This window comes from Homo sapiens, chromosome 9 (assembly GCF_000001405.40).
Source record: "Homo sapiens chromosome 9, GRCh38.p14 Primary Assembly".
NCBI classification, from domain to species: domain Eukaryota; kingdom Metazoa; phylum Chordata; class Mammalia; order Primates; family Hominidae; genus Homo; species Homo sapiens.
In genome coordinates this window covers 134,836,758-134,861,987 of record NC_000009.12, presented here as the reverse complement: position 1 = coordinate 134,861,987, position 25,230 = coordinate 134,836,758, and the positions used below count along the sequence as shown (strand labels likewise).

The 25,230-nt window shown below is 52.8% G+C and overlaps 1 protein-coding gene, 1 long non-coding RNA gene and 7 other non-coding genes across 10 annotated transcripts in view, besides 4 other annotated features; 8 read left to right on the top strand and 1 right to left on the bottom strand.

Moving 5' to 3' along the window:
- Window positions 1–25,230, top strand: part of LOC101448202 (uncharacterized) — a 53,204-nt gene that overhangs the window by 10,631 nt on the left and 17,343 nt on the right. The gene's annotated exons all lie outside the window — the stretch shown is intronic.
- Window positions 3,415–3,704: an enhancer, noted in NCBI's record as "active region_29289". NCBI's record gives its function as "activates an Ori minimal core promoter by ATAC-STARR-seq in GM12878 lymphoblastoid cells {active_cell/tissue: GM12878}" and the evidence as "EXISTENCE:reporter gene assay evidence [ECO:0000049][PMID:35858748]".
- Window positions 3,995–4,144: an enhancer, noted in NCBI's record as "active region_29288". NCBI's record gives its function as "activates an Ori minimal core promoter by ATAC-STARR-seq in GM12878 lymphoblastoid cells {active_cell/tissue: GM12878}" and the evidence as "EXISTENCE:reporter gene assay evidence [ECO:0000049][PMID:35858748]".
- Window positions 11,181–11,246, top strand: MIR3689F (microRNA 3689f). The gene has a single exon (NR_039696.1). It is a non-coding gene; the product is annotated as a microRNA 3689f (primary transcript).
- Window positions 11,347–11,418, top strand: MIR3689E (microRNA 3689e). The gene has a single exon (NR_039695.1). It is a non-coding gene; the product is annotated as a microRNA 3689e (primary transcript).
- MIR3689D2 (microRNA 3689d-2) lies at window positions 11,632–11,711 on the top strand. The gene has a single exon (NR_039694.1). It is a non-coding gene; the product is annotated as a microRNA 3689d-2 (primary transcript).
- MIR3689B (microRNA 3689b) lies at window positions 11,716–11,863 on the top strand. Its single transcript, NR_037469.1, has one exon. It is a non-coding gene; the product is annotated as a microRNA 3689b (primary transcript).
- Window positions 12,306–12,379, top strand: MIR3689D1 (microRNA 3689d-1). The gene has a single exon (NR_039693.1). It is a non-coding gene; the product is annotated as a microRNA 3689d-1 (primary transcript).
- On the top strand, window positions 12,424–12,501 carry MIR3689A (microRNA 3689a). Its single transcript, NR_037460.1, has one exon. It is a non-coding gene; the product is annotated as a microRNA 3689a (primary transcript).
- MIR3689C (microRNA 3689c) lies at window positions 12,619–12,690 on the top strand. Its single transcript, NR_039691.1, has one exon. It is a non-coding gene; the product is annotated as a microRNA 3689c (primary transcript).
- Window positions 16,203–16,703: an enhancer, noted in NCBI's record as "H3K4me1 hESC enhancer chr9:137737131-137737631 (GRCh37/hg19 assembly coordinates)". NCBI's record gives its function as "activates a minimal SCP1, AML or CMV promoter by ChIP-STARR-seq in primed H9 embryonic stem cells {active_cell/tissue: H9 hESC(primed)}" and the evidence as "EXISTENCE:reporter gene assay evidence [ECO:0000049][PMID:30033119]".
- COL5A1 (collagen type V alpha 1 chain) overlaps window positions 17,145–25,230 on the bottom strand; it is a 203,041-nt gene continuing 194,955 nt past the window's right edge. For both annotated transcript variants that reach the window (NM_000093.5, NM_001278074.1), the window contains exon 66: window positions 17,145–19,831. In NM_000093.5, the coding sequence (NP_000084.3) occupies window positions 19,685–19,831 (147 nt within the window). In that variant the 3' untranslated portion in view covers window positions 17,145–19,684. The remainder of the gene's footprint in view (window positions 19,832–25,230) is intronic.
- Window positions 19,015–19,849: an enhancer, noted in NCBI's record as "H3K4me1 hESC enhancer chr9:137733985-137734819 (GRCh37/hg19 assembly coordinates)". NCBI's record gives its function as "activates a minimal SCP1, AML or CMV promoter by ChIP-STARR-seq in naive H9 embryonic stem cells {active_cell/tissue: H9 hESC(naive)}" and the evidence as "EXISTENCE:reporter gene assay evidence [ECO:0000049][PMID:30033119]".

Genomic DNA, 25,230 nt, shown 5'->3' with positions numbered 1-25,230 from the left:
CCCAGCTTCTTCTAGCATGTGGCTTTTCCACGTTCCATATGTGGCCCCTGTCCTGAGGTGGGTCTCCACTCCAGCCACTTGGAACTGGAAGAGAGCATGGGGGTGCCCGTGGCAGGGGCTTCTGGTGACTCCCTGGTGCCTAATGGTGATGGAGCACCTCCCTTCCACCTGTTGCCCCTCGGCCCCACCTGAACCACAGCTGGGTGACTGCAAGGAACACTAGGGAACGCAGCCTGGTTGTGTGACTGGGAACAGGAAACAGTGGTTGCTGAGCACGCAGGAAAATGAACTGAGGCTATCTGTAGGGTACGTCGCAAGGTCACTGTTTGTGTGGTGTGTGTTTCTCTATTCATTTGCTTTCATCCTGTTTGTCCCTGCAAGTGCCTTCTTGTAAACAGCGAGTCACTGGATCCTTCTTTTAAAAAAAAAAAAAATCCATCCTGACAACCTGTGCCTTCTGAGTGTTTAGTTGATTTACGTTTAATGTAATTATCGATATGGTTCTGTTAGGGGTACCATCTTGCTATTTATTTCATATCCTATCTTTGTTCTATCTTACCTATCTTGCCTTGAGCTGGTCAAGCATGTTTTAGTACTTCATTCTCTCTCCTCTGTTGGCTTTTTATTTATTTATTTATTTATTTATTTATTTTCATTTGTTTATTTATTTTGAGATGGAGTCTCACTCCGTCACCCAGGCTGGAGTGCAGTGGTGCCATCTTGGCTCGCTGCAACCTCTGCCTCCCTGGTTTAAGTGATTCTCATGCCTCAGCCTCCCAAGTAGCTGGGACTACAGGCACAGCCACCATGTATTTTTAGTAGAGATGGGGTTTCACCATGTTGGCCAGGCTGGTCTAGAACTCCTAACCTTCACCCGCCTCAGCCTCCCAAAGTGCTAGGATTACAGGTGTGAGCCACCACACCGTTTAAAGGAAAATCTTAAAAATAACCGGAGAAGAAGAAAAAAGGAAAAATTAATCAGAAGGGTAAACGACTTCTCATCATAAAAGGAGAAGATAATGAAAGAACATTTCTAAGTTGCTGCAAGACAAAAATTCTTAACTTAGAATTGTAACTAGATGATTCAAAAATGAAGGTGAAATGAGACTTTTTTCAGTTGAGTGAAAGCTGAGAGAATTTGTTGCCAGCAGATCCATACCCCCAGCAACGCTGAAGGGAGGTCTACAGCTCGGGGAGGTGTTACCAGATGGAAACGCTGATCCGTAGGGAAGGTGGAAGAACAGTGGAAGTGGAAGGTCTGAGCGAGACTCCGTCTCAAAAAACAAAAAAGGTTTTCCCTTGACCTTTTGTTTTTGGCAGTACGCCTTGGTGCGATTTTTTCTTTGTGTTTATCCTGCTAGGGTTTGCTTTTTTTTTTCCTCCCCAAAACGGAATTTCACTCTTGTTGCCCAGGCCGGAGTGCAGTGGCGTGATCTCGGCTCACTGCAACCTCTGCCTCCCAGGTTCAGGCGATTCTCCTGCCTCAGCCTCCCGAGTAGCTGGGATTACTGGCATGCATCACCACGCCTGGCTAATTTTGTATTTTTAGTAGAGACAGGGTTTCACCATGTTGGTCAGGCTGGTCTTGAACTCCTAACCTCAGATGATCCACCCGTCTCAGCCTCCCAAAGTGCTGGGATAACAGGCGTGAGCCATCGTGCCCGGCCTCCTGCTAGGGTTTCATCGAGATCTTAGATATGCAGGTTCATGCTCTTGATCAGATTTAGAAAGTTTTGGCCAGTATTTCTTGAACGATTCTTCTGCCTCATCTTCCCTCTCCCTTCTTTGGACTGCAATTGCACTCTCTCAGTTTGCTCACTACCTTCCCAGTGAAGACGGAGGCTTTGTGCACTTGTTCTAGAAACTTTATTTTCCATGCCTCAACTTTGGTATCTATGTCACATGTAAAAATGTTTATGTAGAAACAGAATGCTTGTTCCCCAGTGCTGCAAAGAAATAGCATTTGAACATAAATTTAATCCTCTCAGCAAGGCCTTTTGTACTTTCTGCAGAAAGAGTGCTCATCGCAGATGGAATAATGGCGAGAGCACATCCGAACAAAGGAGGGAAGCAATTTTTATTCCTTACGCAGTTTGTCCCTGCTGCTGTGTCCTGTCTCCATTGGCAGGAGCCAGACCTTACAATCTAAACTAAAACCTGATTGGCTAACAGTTTAAAACTTTTTTAAATAGGTAAAAGTAATGGAAAGACAAAGGAAAAGAGGAATTTGCTTATGAAAGGACTTAGAAAAGTAATAACATTTCCAAATAAGGAAGGGGCATGGGCTGCGAGCTGGGACATGCCTGTGAGCACTTCCAGCACAGATATTTTGGTTAAAGTACAAGGACATAGAATGTACTACATGCCTGTGAGCATGTCTAGCATAAAGCTAGTCTTTAAAAGAAACTATTATTTCTAATACTTATGATTTATTCTTTAATAAGAAGGGAAACTTTGAAGAGGAACTTTTTTACTTTCTACATCTATCAACACTTCTTTGTATTCCCTGATCCTTCCTTATATTCCCCATCTGATAAATGTTTAATTTTACATATCAAAATTTTTACTTTTAATATTTATACTTTGCTTGTCATTAGATTTCTGTATCTCTTTTGAAATCCTCCATTTCTCCACTCATTACATCTAAATTTTCTTGCATACAAATTAACATATTTATTCTACTTATTTAAATAATTTGCAAATTTCAGCGTCTGAACACTCATTCATTCATTTCCATTGATTTTTTTTTCCTTTTGATTATGGATTACATTTTCCTTCTTCACTTCCATGTCTAGTAAGTCTTGATTCTGTGCAAAGCATCGTGAATGCTATGTCATAGAATTCTGAATTCTGTACCCTCTCTCAGACAAAGCTGAGCTTTGTGCCAGCAGGCAGGCAAGTTGCTGGAAGATCACTTTTGATTATGTGGATGCTTGGCTTTAGACTTTGTTAGAAGGCTTCTGTGTTGTCCTTAATCCTAAGGTAAAAGCTTTAGTTCTGGAATATGGTGCTTATATAATGCTTAAGCATTGGGTCTCAATGGAAAGCCTGATTTGCCAAATTCATTAAAGTGTGGGGCTTGAACTCCAGTTGTCTCCTCAGCCCTGGGGAGCCGCTGGAATCTCTGCTCAGCCGTGCCAGCCTTCCAGCAGCTTCTCCCCAGCAGGTTCATTGGAGTCTATGTCAATTTGGTATTTTGGAATCCAGGTGACTAAGGGCCAGGGAATCCGGGCAGCCTGCCATGGGCTTTTAGCTACCAGTTCTGAGGGGCTCACTGTTTCTCTGTGAGTCTTGCCCATGGCACTTTGGTGAGGAGAGAAGGTGCCAGGAGGGAGGCCACATCTCTGCATGTTGACACCAGGAGGCAGGCAAGGCTATGAACACGTTCTGTCAGCAGATGCTGGGGCTTCCCCACATGACTCCCTCGTTTTCAGAATTTCTCACCCCAGTCCCAGCCACTCCGGTCGCCTCAATCTCTGGCAGCAAGTCCTCAGCCTCATCGTGACTCTGCATTGCCTTCCAATAGTTGTATTTTCGTAGGTTTTCCAGAGTATTTTTGTTCACAGGAGAGTTAATCTAATGTAAGCTTCTCTCAACTGTCAGATGCTAGAAGTCTGAGGCGTGAGTTGTTGTTTTTTTTTAACTTTTAGTTCCACAAAAGCTCTCTGAAAAGGTGACATTTGAGTCAAGAACTGAAAAACATGAGTCAGATATGCAATATTTGGGGTAAAGTCTTACATAAAGGAAAAAGTCTTGGCGGATCTGAGACACAGGAAGGGGGCCAGGGTGTCAGAGAGCAGAAGATGGGGTGAGGAGTGGTGGGAGCCAGCGTGGAAGGTGTTGACTGTATAGGTGGCCTGGGGTCCCCTCCTGCACCAAGTGGGGTGGCAGTGAGCAGGGTGACTGTCGTCTATGCTTTCCCCCATGTTCTTACTATTTCTCTAGACTGCTGAAGCCGCCTCTGTGCCTCCTGGGTCTACCTTCCACACCAAATGCCAGGTGCACATTTTTTTTTTTTCATTATACTTTAAGTTCTGGGGTACATGTGCAGAATGTGCAGGTTTGTTAAATAGGTATACACGTGCCATGGTGGTTGCTGCACCCGTCAACCCACCATCTACGTTAGGTATTTCTCCTAAGGCTCTCCCTCCCCTTGACCCCCACCCCTCGACAAGCCCCAGCATGTGATGTTCCCCTCCCTGTGCCCATGTGTTCTCATTGTTCAGCTCCCACTTATGAATAAGAACATGTGATGTTTGGTTTTCTGTTTTTGTGTTAGTTTGTTGAGAATGATGGTTTCCAGCTTCATCCATGTCCCTGCAAAGGACATGAACTCATCCTTTTTTATGGCTGCATAGTATTCCATGGTGTATATGTGCCACATTTTCTTTATCCAGTCTATCATTAATGGGCACATTTTTAAAGCCAAGCTGTGATTACATCCATCTCCTGTCCTCAAACCCTGTCCCTGGATGTGTGTCCACTGCTCCTGAACACAGTGTAAGCCTTGTAAAGGGTTCAAAGCCACGATCCATATTCCAGGCCACGCCTGATTTCCTGCACTGTCTTTCACTATTCATCCACCCTATGACCAAATGGGGAACACTCTTATTATCTACACATAATGCGTTTACGTCCCTTCCGCCAGGACATTTCTTATGATGCTGTCTCAACTGTGCATTCCCCTCCCTCATTCATCTGTAAACCGCTTCTTGTCCAGGTGCTTCATTCTTCTTTCTTTTGAGCAGCAATCATGTTCTTCTCTCAGAGGGAAATTAGATGCCAACTAGGGGGGAACAAACCAGTATGTGAGACCGCAGTGTCCTCCACCCATAGTTACATCCAGCGGGGTCTCAAACAGGAGAGAAATAACACCTTCCTCCGTGATGAGTGATGAAGTGGGTGAGACTGGCTCTTAGTGCCACATGCAGCACACTCTTGGCCTCCATCCATTAGAGGAGCCCTCCACACTTTCTCTTCTTTCTCAGGATCTTTTCTTCTGTGCCAAAACTCTACCCTAAATAAAGGTTGTCAAATTGATTTCTACCAAAGGATCAGAACCTTGCTAGAGTGGTTTATAAGAAAAACACCTGGCCGGGCATGGTGGTTCATGCCTGTAATCCCAGCACTTTGGGAGGCTGAGGCAGGCAGATCACGAGGTCAGGAGTTCGAGACCAGTCTGGCCAACATGGTGAAACTCCATCTCTACTAAAAATACAAAAATTAGCCGGGCGTGGTGGCAGATGCCTGTAATCCCAGCTACTCGGGAGGCTGAGGCAGGAGAATCGCTTGAAACCAGAAGGCAGAAGTTGCAGTGAGCCAAGATCACGCCAGTCTGGACGAAACATTGAAACTGCATCTGAAACAACAACAACACACCTGTCGAGTCTTCGAGACGCTTGGATTTTAATGATATTCCAAGCCTTATATGGGAGGAGTGAATTTCTTTACAGTGGAATTTTAGTGTCAGAGGAAGCTTGGGGGTGTATTTTTGTGAATCCACGGGGTAGGAGGTACCTTACTTTGAGTATGACCTGGCTGGGTTGAGAGAAGTCTGGGAAGCCTAGCAAATCCTGCCTATTTCAAGCAGCAGCAATACCTGTACACTTTCTAGAAACACACATTCTCGGTGCCGCCCCATACCTACTGAACCAGGCCCTTAGCAGGGAGGGAGGGGTTGAGGGGGAGCTAGAGGGCACCCTGCAAACGGTTTTAGGAAAACTTCCAGGTGGCTCTGAAGCAGGCTCAAGTGTGAGAACACTGTCAGCCCTTTCCGGGGGCTCCCAGGCCCTGCCCTCTGTCTCCAGAGGCTCCCCTGAGGGTGAAGGAGAAGCAGCTCTCTTCTTTTAGTCCAATCTTCTCTTGTCACCTGGCTCCAAGCGTGGAGCCTAGATCCACACCTTCCATGCCCACCATGAGCCTGAATGTGGAGCTTTGACAAACGGTGCCCCCCGCTCCCTGCCTACTCTCATCAGAACCAAAGCCCTGGGCCAGGCTACGCTCCTGCTTCAATATCTGCCCTGCCTCTGTCTCTCAAGAAAGTGCAGAACGAGATGATCATGGCTGACTCCCACTAGCACAGTCTTTATTGCGTGCCCGGCACTGATCTAATCGACTCCCATGCCTGGCACGAAAGTTGGGTGGGCAAGGCTCCAGGGAGGTAAGGCAGAGCCACGGGCTCGTGGAGCCTGCCCTGCCTTGGGGAGCATGAGACGGGAGTGGTGTGTTTCCAGGAAGAGTCGAAGCCAACAGAACTTGAGAAAGTGGCGTGGCATCTGGCATCAGTACCGTGGCTGGGAGTGGGTGGGAGGCTTGCACCCAGCCAGCCCCGTGGAACTCCTCACACCTGGGATGCCCCCGGGAGGGAGGAACCCAGCTTAGCAGGGCGGCTTTCCCTGAGCTGAGGCAGACACAGGCAGGGTCAGGGAAGTTGGGAATTCATCATTCCAGGCCTGGGTCAGATCCACTTCACCTGGGATCTGCATCCTTCCCCAGAGCCTGCTGGTGCTGCATGGGCAGTGGGAGCTCAGGTGGGGCACAGCGAATGCCAGATGGCCCTATTCCCAGGCCCACATCGACCTCCACCTGCCTCACCTGAGGGAATGGCTGTCTCCCCCATGACATTTGCCGTGGGACAGGGTTGGAGCTGGACCAATGTGGACTGGCGGCATGTGGCCCAAGCTCCCACCCTGGTTGTCTTGGCTCCAGCTATGAAAAAGGGGGCTCCCTCTACCCCACTGTGGACGGCCACCTCTTCTCATTTTGCACTCTCCTCTTTTGGAATCTGGGAGAGAGCTACAGAGGGTCAGCTCTAGGATCCAGCCTCCAAGCGCAAAGGGCAGAGGGCTCTTCCAAGAACAGCATTCCATGCAGACCTCCAACAGACAGACAGACATCACAAAGGCGTGCTTGAGAAAGGTATCCAAATGGCTTCTTCGGTACGTCTCCACGTTCCACCTTCTTGTGGAAGGTGAGATCTCACCTCTTCCTGGAAGCCCGTCCTGAACACTCCACCAGCTTGGAGCAGGCTCGGCGCTCAGCCTGGGGGTTCCTAACCTCTGGGTGGCTCTCGGGGGTTGGGGGTCTCAGTTGTGAGTCTGGTCTCTGGGTGTACTTGAGGTCATCGCAGGCAGGACATTCTCTTCTCTCAAGATACGCACTCGCCAAGCCAAGGCCGCACAGCCCGCAGGTTCTGGACACTAAGAGATTGCTCTGTGATCAGTGGCACCCTGAGATCCCCTGGCCAGCACATGGTGAGCAGCACTGGTGTGATTGAGTGCATGACAGTTGCTGGGGCCCTGGGAGAAAGCGTGTCCCAGCCATGAACTCATCTGACCCTACAAGCTGTGGAAGCACAGTCTGTTTTGTGGATGAGGGAACCAGGCAGCCGGACATCTCGCTTCTGACCCATCCCATGCATGAATGTTTAAGAAACACACTTCAGGTCCCAGAGTTGAAGAGCACACAGGCATCGACACTCACGCCTCCCGAACCCTAAGCAGGCTGACACAAAGCTGGCACCGCTGCTCCCCAAGCTGCTCCCTCAACCTTGTGGAGTCCCCTCCCCTTGAATCTGGGCTGGGCGTAGTAATTTGCTTCCAACCCACAGAATATAGCAAGGGACATGGAGCATCCCTTCTGTGATTGGCATAAAAGATGGTGCTTCCATCTTGCTAGCAGACTCTCCTCTTGTGGTTGTGATGGAGCAGGTGGCTGTGCTGGGAGGTCCACATCATAAAGAACTGAGGGTGGCCTCCAGCCAACAGCTAGTCACCACCTGAGGCCCTCAGTCCAATGGCACTCAAGGACCCGAATGCTGCCAACCACAGTGAGTGAGTTTGGAAGTGGAGCTCTCCCCAGATGAGCTCCGGATAAGACCCCAGTCCTGGGTGACACCTTGATTGCAATTTTGGGGCAAGAGGGATCCCGAGGCAGAGATCCTCTGAGATGTTTCTGGATTCCTGACCCTCGGAAGCTGTGAGATGACACACAGGTGTGGTTTTGAGCCTCCAGGCTTTGGGATCATTTGTGATACAGCGGTAAAGAACGCAAGCACAGAGCAGGCTGCCCTTATATGATCAGTCTCCCACCTTTAGGAAGAGTCTTTGAAATCATCCCGACCCTTCTAAGGAGCATTCAGTCTAGTGGCTTCTAGTTTTAAAATGAATTTGAGAAAGTCCCAAAGGGTAGTGAGATTCTTGCTCTGTTAAACATGTCAGTTCTCAACAGATGTCGGGGAATTAGGCTTCTCCCAAACCTACGTGATTTCCATTTGCCAATTGGAAAGAAAAAAAGCAAGATGTTTGGGGCAGAAAGTGCATGTGGCTTTTGTGGAAGTATTCACTCCTGGGATATTACTAGAAAGTGGTGTTTTCCTGGCTGGGGTACAGAAACAGTCCCCAGTCTCCAAGAGAGGCTACTGGGTCATCACAACCCAACCTGAGTCGAGCCAAGGCAGCCTGCAAGTTCTCCCAGCTTGGGAGGGGAGCTGGCAGGAGGGGAGGAGGAGCAGGCCCAGTCCCTCCATCCCCTGCCATCTTTCCCAGGCTGAGGGCATGATGGGGACAGCCCACAGAGCTGGGGATGGTCTCCCAGACCTCAGAGTCCTTTGGAGACCTGGCCATACTGGAAACACAGGCTGTGTGCCTGAGCCTTGTATGTCTGGAGGGGCTCTCCTGGGGGAGCAGCGTCCCCTTGAACACTGCTGGGAGGTCAGGATGGGCTTCCCAGGGCCCCTGGGCAAGGATGGGGATGCTGCTTTCTCATCTTGCAGGCCATTTTGTCAGGGGAAATCTGGACAAACATCCATGCCTCCCATGCCTCAGTGGTCACCCCAGGGCTGTGGGACCTTGTCGCCGGGTCTGCTCTTCCCATGTACTACAGTTGCACATCCACCACCCCCAGACGGCCACATGGCCTTCCTGGACAGCCTGCCTCACTTTGATTGGATCCTCAGCCTGTTTCTTCTCCTCTGTTGAAATTGCTCTCGTGACAAAGTCTCATTTGTGAGATTGTTGGATCAGAATGAATGGCTCCCTTTTATGCTCTGGGTAGTTTCATTATATTAGAAATATTTAAATCTGACTCCCACATCTCCATGCAGTGGTATGTTTCCTATGATATGTATGTAAAATATATGCTTATGTTTTATGTCTGCATCTAAAGCACCCACTGTTTGTTACATGGGCACACCTCCAACTCCACCTAAAGCACACACGATGCTACCTGCGCACACCTCCAACTCCATCTAAAGCACACACAATGCTGCCTGTGCACACCTCCAACTTCATCTAAAGCACACACAGTGCTGCCTGTGCACACCTCCAACTCCATCTAAAGCACACACAATGCTACCTGTGCACACCTCCAGCTTCATCTAAAGCACACACATGCTGCCTGTGCACACCTCCAACTCCATCTAAAGCACACACAATGCTGCCTGTGCACACCTCCAACTCCATCTAAAGCACACACAATGCTACCTGTGCACACCTGCAACTCCATCTAAAGTACACACAATGCTACCTGTGCACACCTCCAACTTCATCTAAAGCACACACAATGCTGCCTGTGCACACCTCCAACTCCATCTAAAGTACACACAATGCTACCTGTGCATACCTGTAACTCCATCTAAAGCACACACAATGCTACCTGTGCACACCTCCAACTTCATCTAAAGCACACACAATGCTACCTGTGCACACCTTCAACTCCATGTAAAGCACACACAATGCTACCTGTGCATACCTCCAACTCCATGTAAAGCACACACAATGCTACCTGTGCACACCTCCAACTCCATGTAAAGCACACACAATGCTACCTGTGCACACCTCCAACTCCATGTAAAGCACACACAATGCTGCCTGTGCACACCTCCAACTCCATCTAAAGCACACACGATGCTACCTGTGCACACCTCCATCTCCTTCTAAAGCACACACAATGCTACCTGTGCACACCTCCAACTCCATCTAAAGCACACACAATGCTGCCTGTGCACACCTCCAACTCCATCTAAAGCACACACAATGCTACCTGTGCACACCTCCAACTCCATTTAAAGCACACACAGTGCTTTGTGCGCACACCTCCAACTCCATCTAAAGCACACACCATGCTACCTGTGCACACCTCCAACTCCATCTAAAGCACACACAATGCTTTGTGCACACCTCCAACTCCATTTAAAGCACACACAGTGCTTTGTGCGCACACCTCCAACTCCATCTAAAGCACACACAATGCTACCTGTGCACACCTCCATCTCCATCTAAAGTACACACAATGCTACCTGTGCACACCTCCATCTAAAGCACACATAATGCTACCTGTGCACACCTGTAACTCCATCTAAAGCACACACAATGCTACCTGTGTACACCTCCAGCTCCATCTAAAGCACACACGATGCTACCTGTGCTCACCTCCAACTCCATCTAAAGCACACACAATGCTACCTGTGCACACCTCCAACTCCATCCAAAGCACACACAATGCTACCTGTGCACACCTGTAACTCTAAAGCATGCAGAACGTTGCATGTGCACACCTCTAACTTTATTCAGTGTGGTTTCCTTCCCTCTTCAGGACGTTTAAGTAGTTGACTTCATTCAGCTGCAGGCCCAGCCCGCTGTGGGCTCTGACGGAAGGCCCTTTCCTGCAGAAGTGCGGGTGTGTGGGGACGGGTGGGGCTACTGTCTCCATGCCGCTGAAGTGAAGTGAGCTCCAAGTGTAGCCGAGCAGAGAACCCTATGGGGTGGGGTGTGGGACCTCACACACTGCAGGTTCTACCACCACCTCCCCGCGGGTGGCTTGGCTTAGAAGGCCTAGAGGTGGACCTAGAATGCGTACTTTTAGGGGGCTCCCCGGATGACTTCAACAGGCAGCCAGGTGGGGGCCACTGATGGGCAGACACCAAGAAACACCAGGAACACTTCTGCTAAGCGCTGGCCTTGTCCCATTAAGAACCTGTGGCTCCCCTGGGAGGTGTGATCCCGTGCTCCCTGGGAGGTGTGATCCCGTGCTCCCTGGGAGGTGTATCCTGTGCTCCCTGGGAGGTATGATCCTGTGCTCCCTGGGAGGTGTATCCTGTGCTTCCTGGGAGGTGTGATATCGTGGTTCCTGGGAGGTGTGATCCTGTGCTTCCTGGAAGGTGTGATCCTGTGCTTCCTGGGAGGTGTGATATCGTGCTTCCTGGGACGTGTGATGCTGTGCTTCCTGGGAGGTGTGATCCCACACTCGCTGGGAGGTGTGATCCCGTGCTCCCTGGGAGGTCTGATCCCGTGCTTTCCTGGGAGGTGTGATCCCGTGCTCCCTGGGAGGTCTGATCCCATGCCTCCTGGGAGGTGTGATATCATGGTTCCTGGGAGGTATGATATCGTGGTTCCTGGGAGGTGTGATCCCGTGCTCCCTGGGAGGTCTGATCCCGTGCTTCCTGGGAGGTATGATATCATGGTTCCTGGGAGGTATGATATCGTGGTTCCTGGGAGGTGTGATCCCGTGCTTCCTGGGAGGTGTGATCCTGTGCTTCCTGGGAGGTGTGATCCCATGCTTCCTGGGAGGTGTGATCCTGTGCTTCCTGGGAGGTGTGATACCATGCTTCCTGGGAGGTGTGATCCCACGCTCACTGGGAGGTGTGATCTCACACTCGCTGGGAGGTGTGCTATCGTCTTCCCTGGGAGGTGTGATCCTGTTCTTCCTGAGCGGTGTGATCCTGTGCTCCCTGGGGGGTCTGATCCTGTGCTTCCTGGGAGGTGTGATATCATGGTTCCTGGGAGGTGTGATCCCGTGCTTCCTGGGAGGTGTGATATTGTGGTTCCTGGGAGGTGTGATCCCGTGCTCCCTGGGAGGTGTGATCCCGTGCTCCCTGGGAGGTGTGATCCCGTGCTCCCTGGGAGGTGTGATCCCGTGCTCCCTGGGAGGTGTGATCCCGTGCTCCCTGTGAGGTCTGATCCTGTGCTTCCTGGGAGGTGTGATATCGTGGTTCCTGGGAGGTGTGATATCGTGGTTCCTGGGAGGTGTGATCCCGTGCTTCCTGGGAGGTGTGATCCTGTGCTTCCTGGAAGGTGTGATATCGTGGTTCCTGGGAGGTGTGATATCGTGGTTCCTGGGAGGTGTGATATCGTGGTTCCTGGGAGGTGTGATATCGTGGTTCCTGGGAGGTGTGATCTGGTGCTCCCTGGGAGGTGTGATCCCATGCTTCCTGGGAGGTGTGATCCCGTGCTTCCTGGGAGGTGTGATCCTGTGCTTCCTGGGAGGTGTGATACCATGCTTCCTGGGAGGTGTGATCCCACGCTCACTGGGAGGTGTGATCTCACACTCGCTGGGAGGTGTGCTATCGTCTTCCCCGGGAGGTGTGATCCTGTTCTTCCTGAGAGGTGTGATCCTGTGCTCCCTGGGGGGTCTGATCCTGTGCTCCCTGGGAGGTGTGATATCATGGTTCCTGGGAGGTGTGATCCTGTGCTTCCTGGGAGGTGTGATATCGTGGTTCCTGGGAGGTGTGATCCCGTGCTTCCTGGGAGGTGTGATACTGTGCTTCCTGGGAGGTGTGATCCCGTGCTCCCCAGGAGGTCTGATCCCGTGCTTCCTGGGAGGTGTGATATCGTGGTTCCTGGGAGGTGTGATATCGTGGTTCCTGGGAGGTGTGATATCGTGGTTCCTGGGAGGTGTGATATTGTGGTTCCTGGGAGGTGTGATCCCGTGCTTCCTGGGAGGTGTGATCCTGTGCTTCCTGGGAGGTGTGATCCTGTGCTTCCTGGGAGGTGTGATCCTGTGCTTCCTGGGAGGTGTGATATCGTGGTTCCTGGGAGGTGTGATCTGGTGCTCCCTGGGAGGTGTGATCCGGTGCTCCCTGGGAGGTGTGATCCTGTGCTTCCTGGGAGGTGTGATCCTGTGCTTCCTGGGAGGTGTGATATCGTGGTTCCTGGGAGGTGTGATCCGGTGCTCCCTGGGAGGTGTGATCCAGTGCTCCCTGGGAGGTGTGATCCCGTGCTCCCTGGGAGGTGTGATCCCATGCTCCCTGGGAGGTGTGATCCCGTGCTCCCTGGGAGGTGTGATCCCGTGCTCCCTGGGAGGTGTGATCCCGTGCTTCCTGGGAGGTGTGATCCCGTGCTTCCTGGGAGGTGTGATCCCGTGCTTCCTGGGAGGTGTGATCCCGTGCTTCCTGGGAGGTGTGATCCTGTGCTTCCTGGGAGGTGTGATCACATGCCTGCTGGTGATAGAGAGGCACAGCTCCCCATTGGGGAACAACCAGGACCCAGCCCTGGGAGGTGTGGATTCAGGAGGGCCCCAGAGGCCTGCATGAGCTAGTGAGAGCTAGGAGGTGGTGTCCGCACTGGGAGCGGGACCCACACAGAGGGCACGTGGGGTAAGCATCAATGAAGTTCCGGGTGTCAGCCAATTGCACCCTCCCAATGGCCCTGGAGCAGTTGCAAAAGCTTCCTGCTCTCCCATCGTCCCCTTCTCCAACCCACTCCCGAATGCAGACGCCCCTGGCCCTCCTGGGTGGCCAGAGCCTGAGGACACTCACTAGGACAGCCCTGGGCAGCTCAAAGGAGCACTTTGGCCTGGCACAGGCCAGCTCCAGGGATGCCCCCACCTTCCTCCACATGCATGGATCGGGTTTCGTCACCAAGACATCTGCAGGACAGGAGCGGGGCCTCTGGCCACATGGCCAGAGTGCCTCCTCCATTCATGGGTCCCATGTGCAAATGGGCAGACAGGAGCTCTGAGCAGCAGATTCCCCGAGGCCACATGGGGCACTGGTGGCATCTGAGCCTGGGTCGCTGAGGCAGCTGTCCTCAGCCTGGTCTCACCAGGCCACAGCTGTCAGTGGGTAAACGTGTGTGCGCGTGTGTGTGTGCTCCTGCGGCACTGTGGGGGTCATGCCTGTGGCTGAGCATCTCCTGGAATTCTCTCGTCTCACTTTCGACCTCCTCTTCTCAGCAAATCCCATCAACCCCATCTTTGAAACACCTGGAGCCGGAGTGTGACCCACTCTCATGGGTCTGCACCGCCCCCAGCCTGCGTCTGGGTTACTGCCCCGTGTGGCTTCCCTCCCCATCTCTGCTCAGGCCACACCAGCCCCCTCCCACTTCCCCTTCCTCTCCCCACTCCCTCTGGCCTCTGCCCTGCTGTTCCCTCTCCTGCAAAGCCCTTCCTGCCCGCTGGGCTCCAGGCAGAGAGAACCTTCCCAGTGGCCCTGGTCACCCAGGAGAGCACTTCAATCCCCACCCCACACACACTACACACCCCATACACACAGGCACACACACCACACCCACACACACACTATACAGACACAGCACAAACCACACACACAGGCATGCACACTATACACATGCAGCACACACCACACACACAGGCACATTCCCCACAGGCACGCACACATATACCATACACACGCCAGCACACACACCACACAGGCACATGCACAAACACCACCTCCACACACAGGCATACACCACACACACACACACCACACACACCACACACACAGGCACACACACCACATACACAGGCACAGCTCCCCACAGGCACACACACACACCACACAGGCACACCACACACACAGGTACACACACAACACACATACACTTCACATAAACACAAATAGCACATGCAAAATACACCACATAGCACATGCACACACGTGCCATACACACATGCACATCACCCCCCCCACACACACACAACCACACACATGCACATTGTCTCCTCCCCTTTACATTTCCTCAGGTCTCATTCCTCTGGGCACACCTTACCCCTGCCTTGTGGGTCTTGGTCAGCCCGTGTCCCCTGGAGTGGCATCTCCTTGAGGGTGGGTTCTCCCCTGCTGCTCCCGCCTGGCACACAGCAGGTGGTCAATGAACTGCCACTGAAGGAATGGGGGAATGAATGGATGAATGAAAGAGTGGATGGATGGATGGATGGATGGATGGATGGATGGATGGATAAATGATGAATAGATGGATGGATGGATAGATGAATGGATGGATAGATGGATGGACAGATAAATGATGAATAGATGGATGAATGGATGGATGAATGAATGAATGGATGAACAGATGAATGAAAGGGTGAACGAATGTGTGGATGGATGGATGGATAAATGATGAATAGATTAATAGATGGATGAATGGATGAATGAATGGATGAATGAAAGGGTGAATGGATGAATGGATGGATGGATGGATGAATGGATGGATAAATGATGAATAGATGAATGGATAGATAGATGAATGGATGAAAGGGTGAATGGATGGATAGATGAATGGATGGATGAACAGATGAATGAATGGATGTGGTGGCAGAACTCCTTGGGGCCAGTGGGAGGAGGAAGGCAAGGAAGGCAGACTGGGGGCATGCACCCTCCCTCCAGGGTTCCTTCTCCCCAGGAAACTTCCCAGAGCTGTCACCTACAACCCCGAGAAATCGTGGGAGTCCCCTTGCATGACGGGTGCGAGGGGAGTCCCACAACTCTGGGCCACAACTGTGCCATGGCTCAGCCACCGGCCGAGTGGACCTCAAGCCTCCTGCTGCCTGGGATGGTCAAAGGGTCATTGTGAGTCTGAGCCACTGACTCCTCCAGACCAGGCTGGGGCCCCTCTGCAGGATGCCTCTCCGGAGGACAGATCAGCTGCCCACCTGTGCATTTCTGGCCGCTCCACCAGCAGGCACCACGCCGACTGTCCGCCCACCTGCCTTGCTCTCTCTCCTCTTCTGGATTCGATGGCAAGGACCTTCAGACCCATCAACCTTTGACGACTGTGAGCGTCCATTGCCGGAGTCGCTTTCCCAACTCAAATGCATTTATTAGGCGCCATCCTAATCTACTCCAGGATTTTAAGAAAGGGGTGGGCTGCTCAAATTCATGACGACTGAGTTTTAACTGGCGTTTGTCCCTCAAGGCGTCTCTCAATGTGGTCTTTAAACAGTTGATGTTGGGAAACGGTTGCCTCTTCCAACTCTGCGCATCCTTGATTCGTGGGCCGTTTCCTTTCATTCCTGGCTCTTTCCAGAGCTGGTCTGCCACGTGGTACCTTGCCACATGGAATTCAGGCATCCAGCCTGCCCACCATCATTTCATGTCAAGCCTCCTCCCCAAGGGTTGCAAGTTATGAGTTCATAATCTACCTCTGAGCTATCACAGTGATCAAACAATTGTACCCAATGTTCTGCCTGTGGATGACATGGGTCAACAGCCTCCCATCCTCTCACAATGGCCCCAGCTTCCCTGGGCAATGCTGCAGACCACCCTTCTGTTGTGAAAGTCGCCTCGTCCTTAAGCACCTACACAATTCCGGATCACCTAGGTTACTGGCTCTCCGGCTTGAACGTGCAGCAGAGTTGCTCAGAGACCTGCTTTCAGATGATTCAGCTCTCCCACAACATTTGGGCCAGCAGGTCTGGGATGGGGCTCAGGGACTGGCACTTCTAACAAGGTGGTGCCATTGCTGCCATTCCCCGGACCCTGCTGGAGACCCACTGGCCTAGGTTATTCGGCAGAGTAATCAACAGTCCCTGACATCAGTGGCTTTAATAAAACAAAAATGTGCTTCTCCTGCTCCTGCTACCAGTTCTCACAAGCTGGCAGGGGGCTCACTCAGGGAACCTGCTGGTGACGTAGCCCCTCCACGAAACATGGCTGGTGCTGTGCCCGAGGGAACCACACCTTCAGACCGGAAGAGGCGAATGCCACGTGGGCTCAAGGTCATCGGCTGCAACGAGCCCCGTGCCTTCCCCGACCTCTAGCCACAAGGAGCTAGGGAGTCTAATCCTGCTACACAGCTGGAAGGGCAGTGCTGGAGAGCTTCAAGAACATTCTCGCAGGGTGCTGACTGCCAGGAGTGAAGAGTGAGGACAGTACACGGTGGTGTGGACACCCAGCAGTGGCTGAAACTCACTTCTCGGGCTAGTGCCCGGTTACGTTCTAACATCCTCCCAAGGGCACAAAGCTGTCCATGCCAGCCTTGGCCACTCCTGAGGGACAAGCTCCACCTAAGGACAGCCGGGGCCATCCCTTCCTTTCTCTGGGTGGCCAGTGTGGTTATCTCCAGAGCTCCTAGCGTCCTGGGACTGTGTGCAGTCCTGTCTGGGAGGGGCCTGGCCACACTTAAGAAGAGAGTCACTCACATCTGTTTACGGTGGAAACACCCAACTCGATTTATTGAAAAACTATTACAGTTAATTATTCCTTTGTTACACAAGTTTAGAATATTTTAAGATATCCTTTCCTGGGCATTACAGTTAAAACTTATGACATGTCTAGCGGATTTTTTGAAACCGTACAATGTGTCATTTGACATTGTATTTCAAAAGGCCTGATGTCCTCGAAACTTTATCTTGGGTTTTTTGCTTACCATTTTTTTCTTTTTGCCAGCGTTTGTCCAATTATATATATTGAGAGGAAAAAATAAAATTACACCAAAAGAATTTCTGCAAATATAAGAAGTAATTTTATTGCAATATACTGTGGCTAGAGTGGTCTGGGGAGAACGGGACACATTTTGAAGTTCAGTACAAATTATAACAACTTTGAAGGGACCACAGAGGAAGAAAATGACAGGAGAAAAGGACAAATTGGATGGGATGAGAAATGAAAACAGAATCACATGACCTAGACGCAGTCCACGGGGGTCGCGGGACAGTCCTCGGCTATGGCTTTTCTTTTGAAGAGATGAAGGTGACAGTCATTGGCACATGCTGGCATCCTGGGCTCCAGAGACTCTCCAAGCCAGACTTTTCTTTGGCAAGAGCGAGACTTACTTTCCAGGGAAATTTGGAAAATCCACGCTGGCGGTGTTTTGTTCCTCCTGGGTGGCTTGTTTGTGGCTTCCTAAGCTGGAACTGCATTCTGGTGGTGGTGGGGGTCGGGGACAGCACCAGAGCCCCGCAGGCTCACCCCAAGGGCCCAGCCTGCATTTCCCATGGTAGAAGGAAAAGGCGCTGCACCCGGGCAACTTTTCACAGTGAAGAGATCGCCTTTCCTGGCTGCCCCTCGGGTCCTCCTGCCCACAGACGGCAGCCCCCCGACCTCGATGGCCAGGAAAGGGTTCCCCAAAGGGGACCTCACCCGCCCCGAGCTCTGGAGCCGCTGACGCTCGCATCCAGGACATTTGAGATGGGAATCCAAATAGGCTACTTGGAAAAGACGTGCTGCAGGCAGCCCTGGAGAGACTCATGGAGTTCATTGTACATTACTCCATCTACCGAGGCAGCGCATGGCATGACTGAACGGCTTGGAACAAACACAGAAATTAGCACCACAAACATTCAGGAACCAAATATAATCTGCTATGGTCACACCACAGACAATGCAGGAAGAGGCTTTTTATTGCTTGTGTGTGTTTTCAAATCAAGTAGGCACAACCCAGTCCTCATAACAGCCCTCGGGAGTGGACGCACCGGGGCGGGAGAGCGCAGGAGGGAGTGTGCTTGGCTATCCTGCCCAGTGGAAAGGAAAGTGACGTGCATTGATCTTAGAGTCCTTGGCAACAGACTGTGGAGGCAATAACAGGATAAAGAAAGCAGGGAGAACGAGGCATGGCCAGGGTCCCCAGTGCGCCTTCAAGGAGACCTTAAAACAGATAGATAGCACCACAAGAGAGCCACAAGAGAGAAGTGTAAAAAATAAGCACCAATTTTCATTGAGTTATCACCTACAAAAAATGTGGTTTCCCTGCCCTGGACATTCTCCCATCAGGCTCTGCGGGAAGAAAAGCGGAAAAAGGAAGCAAATAAAATTAATCCAAACCTGTGTTTTAGTCTTAAGTGCATGTAGAAAAAAGAAAATTATCAAATTTTTTCCCTATTAAAAAAAAAAAAAGTCTAGAGCGAATCAAAAACTGTCTGAAAAGGGGCACTGGTACCTGCTTTTCAATGGCAGCATAAATTCTTGCTGCCCCGGGGCAAACTTCCAATTTATTGCACGTTCTTGGCCAGGGCGGGGGTGGGGAGACTTCCTATTTCTAATCAGAACGGTACTGCAACCCAGAATCCATGCCTCGCCCATTCTGTCCGTGGGACTGAGACTGGGTTTCCGTGCATGATTGAAAGCCAGGCACACTTAACATTTATAACAATACAATACAAATATTTACTTAAAACTCACAAAAACATAAGCACCTTTAATCCATCGGGAAGGCACCTGCAGAATGACATTTGGCCTCTAAATGGATCGTGTTGGAGGTTGTTAAAAACGGAGGCTTTGGTGATGGTGGGATGACCTTTACGAGGCTTACCTTGGAACATTTTTTGAAGGTCAGGGGAAATACACATCTTCAAGTTGAATTTAGAAAAAAATATAGTGTCCAAATCTGGCAGTCCCTCCCCCAACCCCTGAGACCTATTCACGAACAGGATGGGTCGGGCGAGCTGGGGGGCTGGAGGCATGGCCCCGCTCCCGGGGCGCGTGGGTGTGGACAGAGCGTGGGGCGGGCCCAGGCGCTGGGGTGCAGCTAGGTCATGTGATTCAGCTCCAGGTGGGGGCGCGGCTCCTTCCCTCTGTTCTCTCCGGGCTGGGGTCCCACACCCCGTGGTGCCGAGGCGTAGATGAAGTCAGGTGGGAGGGGAGGGAGAAGCCTTCACTGTCCAGGGTCAGGACGTGCACGGGACACTCACGAACGAATGGCATGCTGAGGTCACGAGGTTGCTCTCGGGAGCCCGGGCTCGGCGGCTCCTAGCCCATGAAGCAAGCCGGCCCCACTTCAAATCCAAATTTCTGTGACGCTTCACCGAAGTCATTGAACATGATGTCCACGATGGGCACCTGCTCCACTTTGGGGGTGTCGATCTCCAGAACCGTCTTCTGGTAGCCTTTCTTGGTCTGGGGAAGAGGGAGACAGATGGCCGGTGGTTAAGAACAGTTGGGGGTCTTGGGGTTTACCAATCACCCCCCACAATCTGTCTGGCTCCAAAACCCAGGCTGGTGTCCTGTCTCCTACCCAGGGCTGCGCTTGCCCGGGCAAGTGTTGGAGGAAATATGGCTGATCAGAGCATGCATTTAACCCCGGTGGATGTCCCAAGAGTCCCCCTGCACAGGTCGGAGGTGGGGTGGTGTGGGCATCAGCGAGGCGACAGGACCCTCCCAAGGCTTCAGGGGTGGCTGAGGCACACACAGGATTGAAGCTGATCAGCCTTCCCACCGTGCCCAGTCCAGACTCCTTGTGATGCCCCAGGTATTCACTTCCAGGCAGCCTCCCCAGGACCCAGGGCCAGCTACAGAACAAGCAGGGCACACTGGAAAATCAAACGGGGGCTCCAGGTTCGAAAAGGAAGGAGTCCGAGGCGGCACCGGCAGAGCCTTGAGCCAAGTAAGACCCCCCTACGACCACCTGCCACACACTGCCTTAGGCACTCGGTGGGCTGGGTCTTCACCTCCACAAGTATGGGAAGGGGTGGGGACCTTCCACACCATCTGGTCTAGAGGAGTCTTAGGTAAACTGAGGCACAGAGGGCAGGGGTAGTGCAATGAACCTGGCCTGCAGGATGAGTCAGCACCCATCCCTTGCTCAAAACAGCACAACCCTGGGCGCTGGGATGTGGGATGGAAGCCTAGGAGAGGCCGCCTCCCTCCCAGAACACAGGCAGCGCAGGTGTGAGATTCTTTGGTCCCTCCCCAAAGCCACCCAAATATAACTCCCAGTGTTCTTTATAACTGAGGCTGAGCTGGCCCTGCTGTCCCGTCAACTTCCCCCAAGACAAGGGCCCTGGAGGCCGCACCTTTCCCGCAAACCAGGAGCCTGCAAACGCATCCTGGGCAGATGGCTTTTGCTACCTCAGACCCAGACTGGATTTACAGTCGCAGCTGGATCTGGGCCTGGGAAGGATCTCCTTCCACTGCCCCATCCCCAAAAGAAATGATCAGATAAACAAGTAGGGGCCAGCCAGGGTTCCCTCCCGGATGGGAGGCAGTGACCCCAGGATGCAGCCCTGCAGAGGGCCCAGCGCAGACTCCCAGGCCGGAGATTCGGATAGCAGACAGCAGCTCCAGCTCTCCCGGTATTCTGCTCCCTGACCTATGGGGAGGGCGTGGCCTTGAAGGGCCTTATTCTCCCTGACTATGATCTTAATGTTCCCGTTCCCAAAGATGGTATTAGGAGGTGGGGCCGTTCGATGGGAGTTGAGGAGGTCCTGAGGGTGGAACCCCATGAGTGGTATTAGTGCCCCTATAAAAGAGGCACCCGAGAGACTCCACCCTGTGAGGGTGTAGTGAGAAGCTGCTATCTGCAGCCCAGAGGGGAGCTCACCAGAGCCTGCCTTGCCAGCAACCTGCTCACAGACTTCCAGCCTCCAGAACTGTGGGCGACAAATTTCTGTTGCTTATGAGCCACGCAGCTGGCGAGATTTGTCGTGGCAGCGAATGGACCTAAGACAGACCCTGAGCTAGAGCCAGCCAGCTGCACCTCTCCCAGGCTTCTGACCCTCGGACATGGGGTGACGTAACGAACATCTGTGGTTTTAAGCTGCTAAATTTGGGGGGCTAGTTGATTACAAGCAATGGATAACCGATACGCTTTCTGTGACTCAGTTTCCTCAGCTGGAAAATGGGCATGCTCACATCACAGAGGCGCTGTGAGAAGGAATGAAGCTCACCTCCCTGCATGCGTTCCTGCTATTATCCATGAGAGTCCCAAACTTCACCTCCTAATGTCCACTTCTCCCCTGACCCTGCCCTTCTCACAACCCTGCCTTGATAGGAACACCTTTCTGTTACTGCAGCTGGCTCAGCCTGGCATGATTTTCAAGTTGGGATTGGAACTTCAGAGAGAACGCGAGTTCTCAGGGAGCTTGTTAACCCCCTACAGCTCTGACCCCTGCCCAGAGAGGCTGACTCCGTCTGGCTGGGGTGGGACTCGGAATCTGCATTTTAAAAAATGGGTGTCTCAGACAATTCTGATAGGCGTGGTCATGACTGGCCTTTGAGAAACGCTGTCCTAAAGGACCTCGCCATGGGGCACCCCCGGACTTGACAGCAAAACACACAGTTCCACAGAATGCCGAGTGTGGGGCAGACGGCACCCTGTGGCCAGCTCAGCCCTGCAGAACACAGCTGGGATGCTGCTGTCCCACAAGCCCGCCTGGGGGTGGCCACAGCTCTCCTGTGGAACGGAGGGCAGGGGCCAGTTGCAGCTCTGCGGTGGCTGGGAAGGATAGGTGGGCAGCGGGGCTGGACACAGGATATTCAATGAGAGGTGGCCATCCACACCCTCCAGGGGTGAACCCTGAGGGTACCAACCTCCTCACCCTCCCCACCGGCGAGGAGCCAGAGACCACCCTGCCTGCCTCTCCTCCGGCCTCTGCTCCCTGGCCCAGTCCCACCCAGGGAGTGCAGTGAGATGGTTGGGCCTGGCTTCACTGGGCCACTGCAAGGTGGCGCTGTCCTGGGGAGCCAAGTGAGCTCGGCGACAGGTCAGCAAGCCAGCAGGGCGCTGCCCGGCCTTTCTCATCCACCCCTGGGAGGCTGGGCAAGCAGTTCATCTCAGCAGTGGCGTCGGTCACAGCCCTTCTCAGCGATGGCACCAGTCTCTCCCCAGAGGGACGGGCAGCATTTGCTGAGCTGTCGGGTGATTTCATGGGATTTATGGGACCCCTCTGCTCCAATTATCAGAGTGCTTAGAGAGGGGCGTATTTAAAGTAGGCCGCTGCGAGCCGCTCTGTTACCCCGTTATTCCAGGGGTATAAATAACCATTACAGGCCAGAACGGCCCCCCAGAGGCGCCGAAAGCTGCACAAACACCAGGATTTATGCGGCGGGGTGCCTGGGCCCTCTTGCAGGTGATTTGTGCCTCTCCACTGGGCCCGCTCAGCGGCCCCGTCAATCAGGCGCCCCAGCCAAACGATGCCCGCGTTGGAATTCCAATTTCTTCGGCCGTTATTACAATATGAATCATGCAGACCTCCGGGGGCTGAGGCAGGGCTTTTGCCGCTGGCCCGAGTTCGGGGCATCAGGGCCTCCTGCAGCAGCCTCCGTAATTAAATGAGACGGTTGTGACTTTTCAAATTGTGGTTGGGCTTGTCAGGGACTGGGGTCAGCAGGGCACCTGAGAGTCCGGGCCAGCGTCCCTGCATGCCACCCCCATGGCCGCCCCGCACCCCAGCTCCACGCTGCTGCCACTGCCCACCTTTCCACCCAAACCACCTGTCCAGCTTGGCCGCAGAGCCTGCCCCTGCCATCTGGGGTTAGGCAGTTTTGGGCCATTCTCTCTCCATCTTTTCAAAGTCAGAATCTTTGCTTTCCAGAAGTAGAACAGCCCTGGGGAGGGGGCTGCTTCTCCTCTCCCTGCCCAGAGTGCAGTCTGGGTATCCCCGTGATCCCAATCCCTCCTCTGCACGCAGAGACACTTCCAAGGACAGTTGTGGAACTCAGGAACGCCTGCCATGGGGAAGGGGGCGAGAGAGTGAGCCAGGGTCTCCTTTTGGGGTGGCACTTGCAGCACTGGGCGGCTAACCAGACCCACGCTGCTGACTGCCTGAGAAGGTGGCGCGGTCTGGACGGCAGCTGCACTTGGTTCTCGGCTTTGAGGGTCCTGATCTCACCCCAGAAGTGCCAGCTTCTTTGGGTTCCATGGGAGACAGGAAGGAGCAGGTCCTCTTTGCCCTTGCAGCAGGTGAACCCTCTGCGCTCCCTTCACACCTTAGTTCTGTGTGTAGAAGGGTGCTTCTCCATGGGGGAGATTTTGCCCCTGGGAGATGTGTCTGGAGACATTCTGGGTTGCCGTCACTCGGTAGGGGGCTCCTACTGGCATCTAGTGGGTGGAGGCCGAGAATGCCAAACAGCCTGCTGTCCACCATCAGAGAGCCGTCGGGCCTTGATGTCAGAAGGCTTGGGCTGGGAAACTGCTCTTGAACCCGGTTCCCTCTGCATGGCTGACGGGACCAGACCCAGGAGGCGATGGGCGGATAGTACAAGTAGACTTGAGCCCAGTTCTCGGAAGAGCTTCCTCATCCTGAGACTCTGCAGCCATGGCCTGGGCTGTCTCAGGAGGTAGTGAGATCACTGTCAACTGAGGTATTCAAGGTGCAGCTATGCCAGGAAGGGGCTATGGTGAGAAGAATGCTGCAGTGGGAATTAGGAGCCTCAGCTCTGTCACACCTGGAGACCTTGGGCGAGTCGCCGTAACTCTCTGGGCCTCAGGTTTTGCGTATGTAGAAAGAAGGGAACACTTGTATTGGTGGTTCGCATTCGGACGTGGGGAGTGTTTCTGGAGGCGTTTGGCACACCCGAGACTGGCAAAGTGGAATGTCTTGCAAACCAATGGCCACACTTCCCCAGATGCCAACAGCACACCCTCATCACCGGGAGACACTGGGCTGAGCAAGAGCCCTCTCTGCTTGTGGAATTTAAATGATCCCAGCTTGACCCTATCCCAGGATGCAGGTGGAGCCAGGAAGTCAGGTTCTGAGTCAGAAAGCATTGCCGAAGACTTCTGGGACCTCGCAGAAGTGGGCTTTGCTGATGGAATGAGTAGGGGCAGGAGCTTCAAGAGGAACTGGGATGGAAGAAGTTGGATCTTCCAGGAAGGTCTTAAAAGCAGCAGAAGCCTCTCTTAGCCAGATTAGGGAGCAGGGGTCTGGCCTGCCCTTTAACCTCCAAGGGTCCTTCGTGGGATCCATCTTTCTAGCATTGTCTTCCAGGGAACATTCCCCTCTCTGGAAAGCTGTTCCTCTCCCTTTACCAGACAATACCCACTGGGCCAGCTAGTTTCCCTTTTTGCCATGGAAGCCAGGAAGCTCAAAGCCAAACTCAGGAGGCTGTCCCTCCAGGTCCTGCCTCGCCTTTACAGGGTTCCTGATTTCTCTTCACCTCCATGTTTACTGCCTTACATTTGTGGTCCATGTTATCTAAAAATATTCACAGGAACTGGCTGCTCATCCAGGGCTTGCAGTGGGTCAGACACGATTCCGAGCTCTAAAGGCATGGTTTGACATGCTCCCCAGAAAGCCCTGTGAGGCAGGTGCTATGTTATACTCATTTGGGGAGGACGGGTAAGGTCCCTGGCATTTTTAAATGCCTCTTTCCAGGGATCTGGATCCATCAACCTTACACAGGGATGAGTTCTGCATATTCCACAGTCAGATCCGAAGTACTGACCCCAACCAATCGCAGAAGGCAGTAGCAGCCGGGAGGAGAGGTGAGCACTCCTGGTGAGGGCGGCCCCCGCTGAGCACGGCCTGGCCGCGGGATGGCCCTGGGAGACACAGCTTTAACCCTCAGTGCAGCCC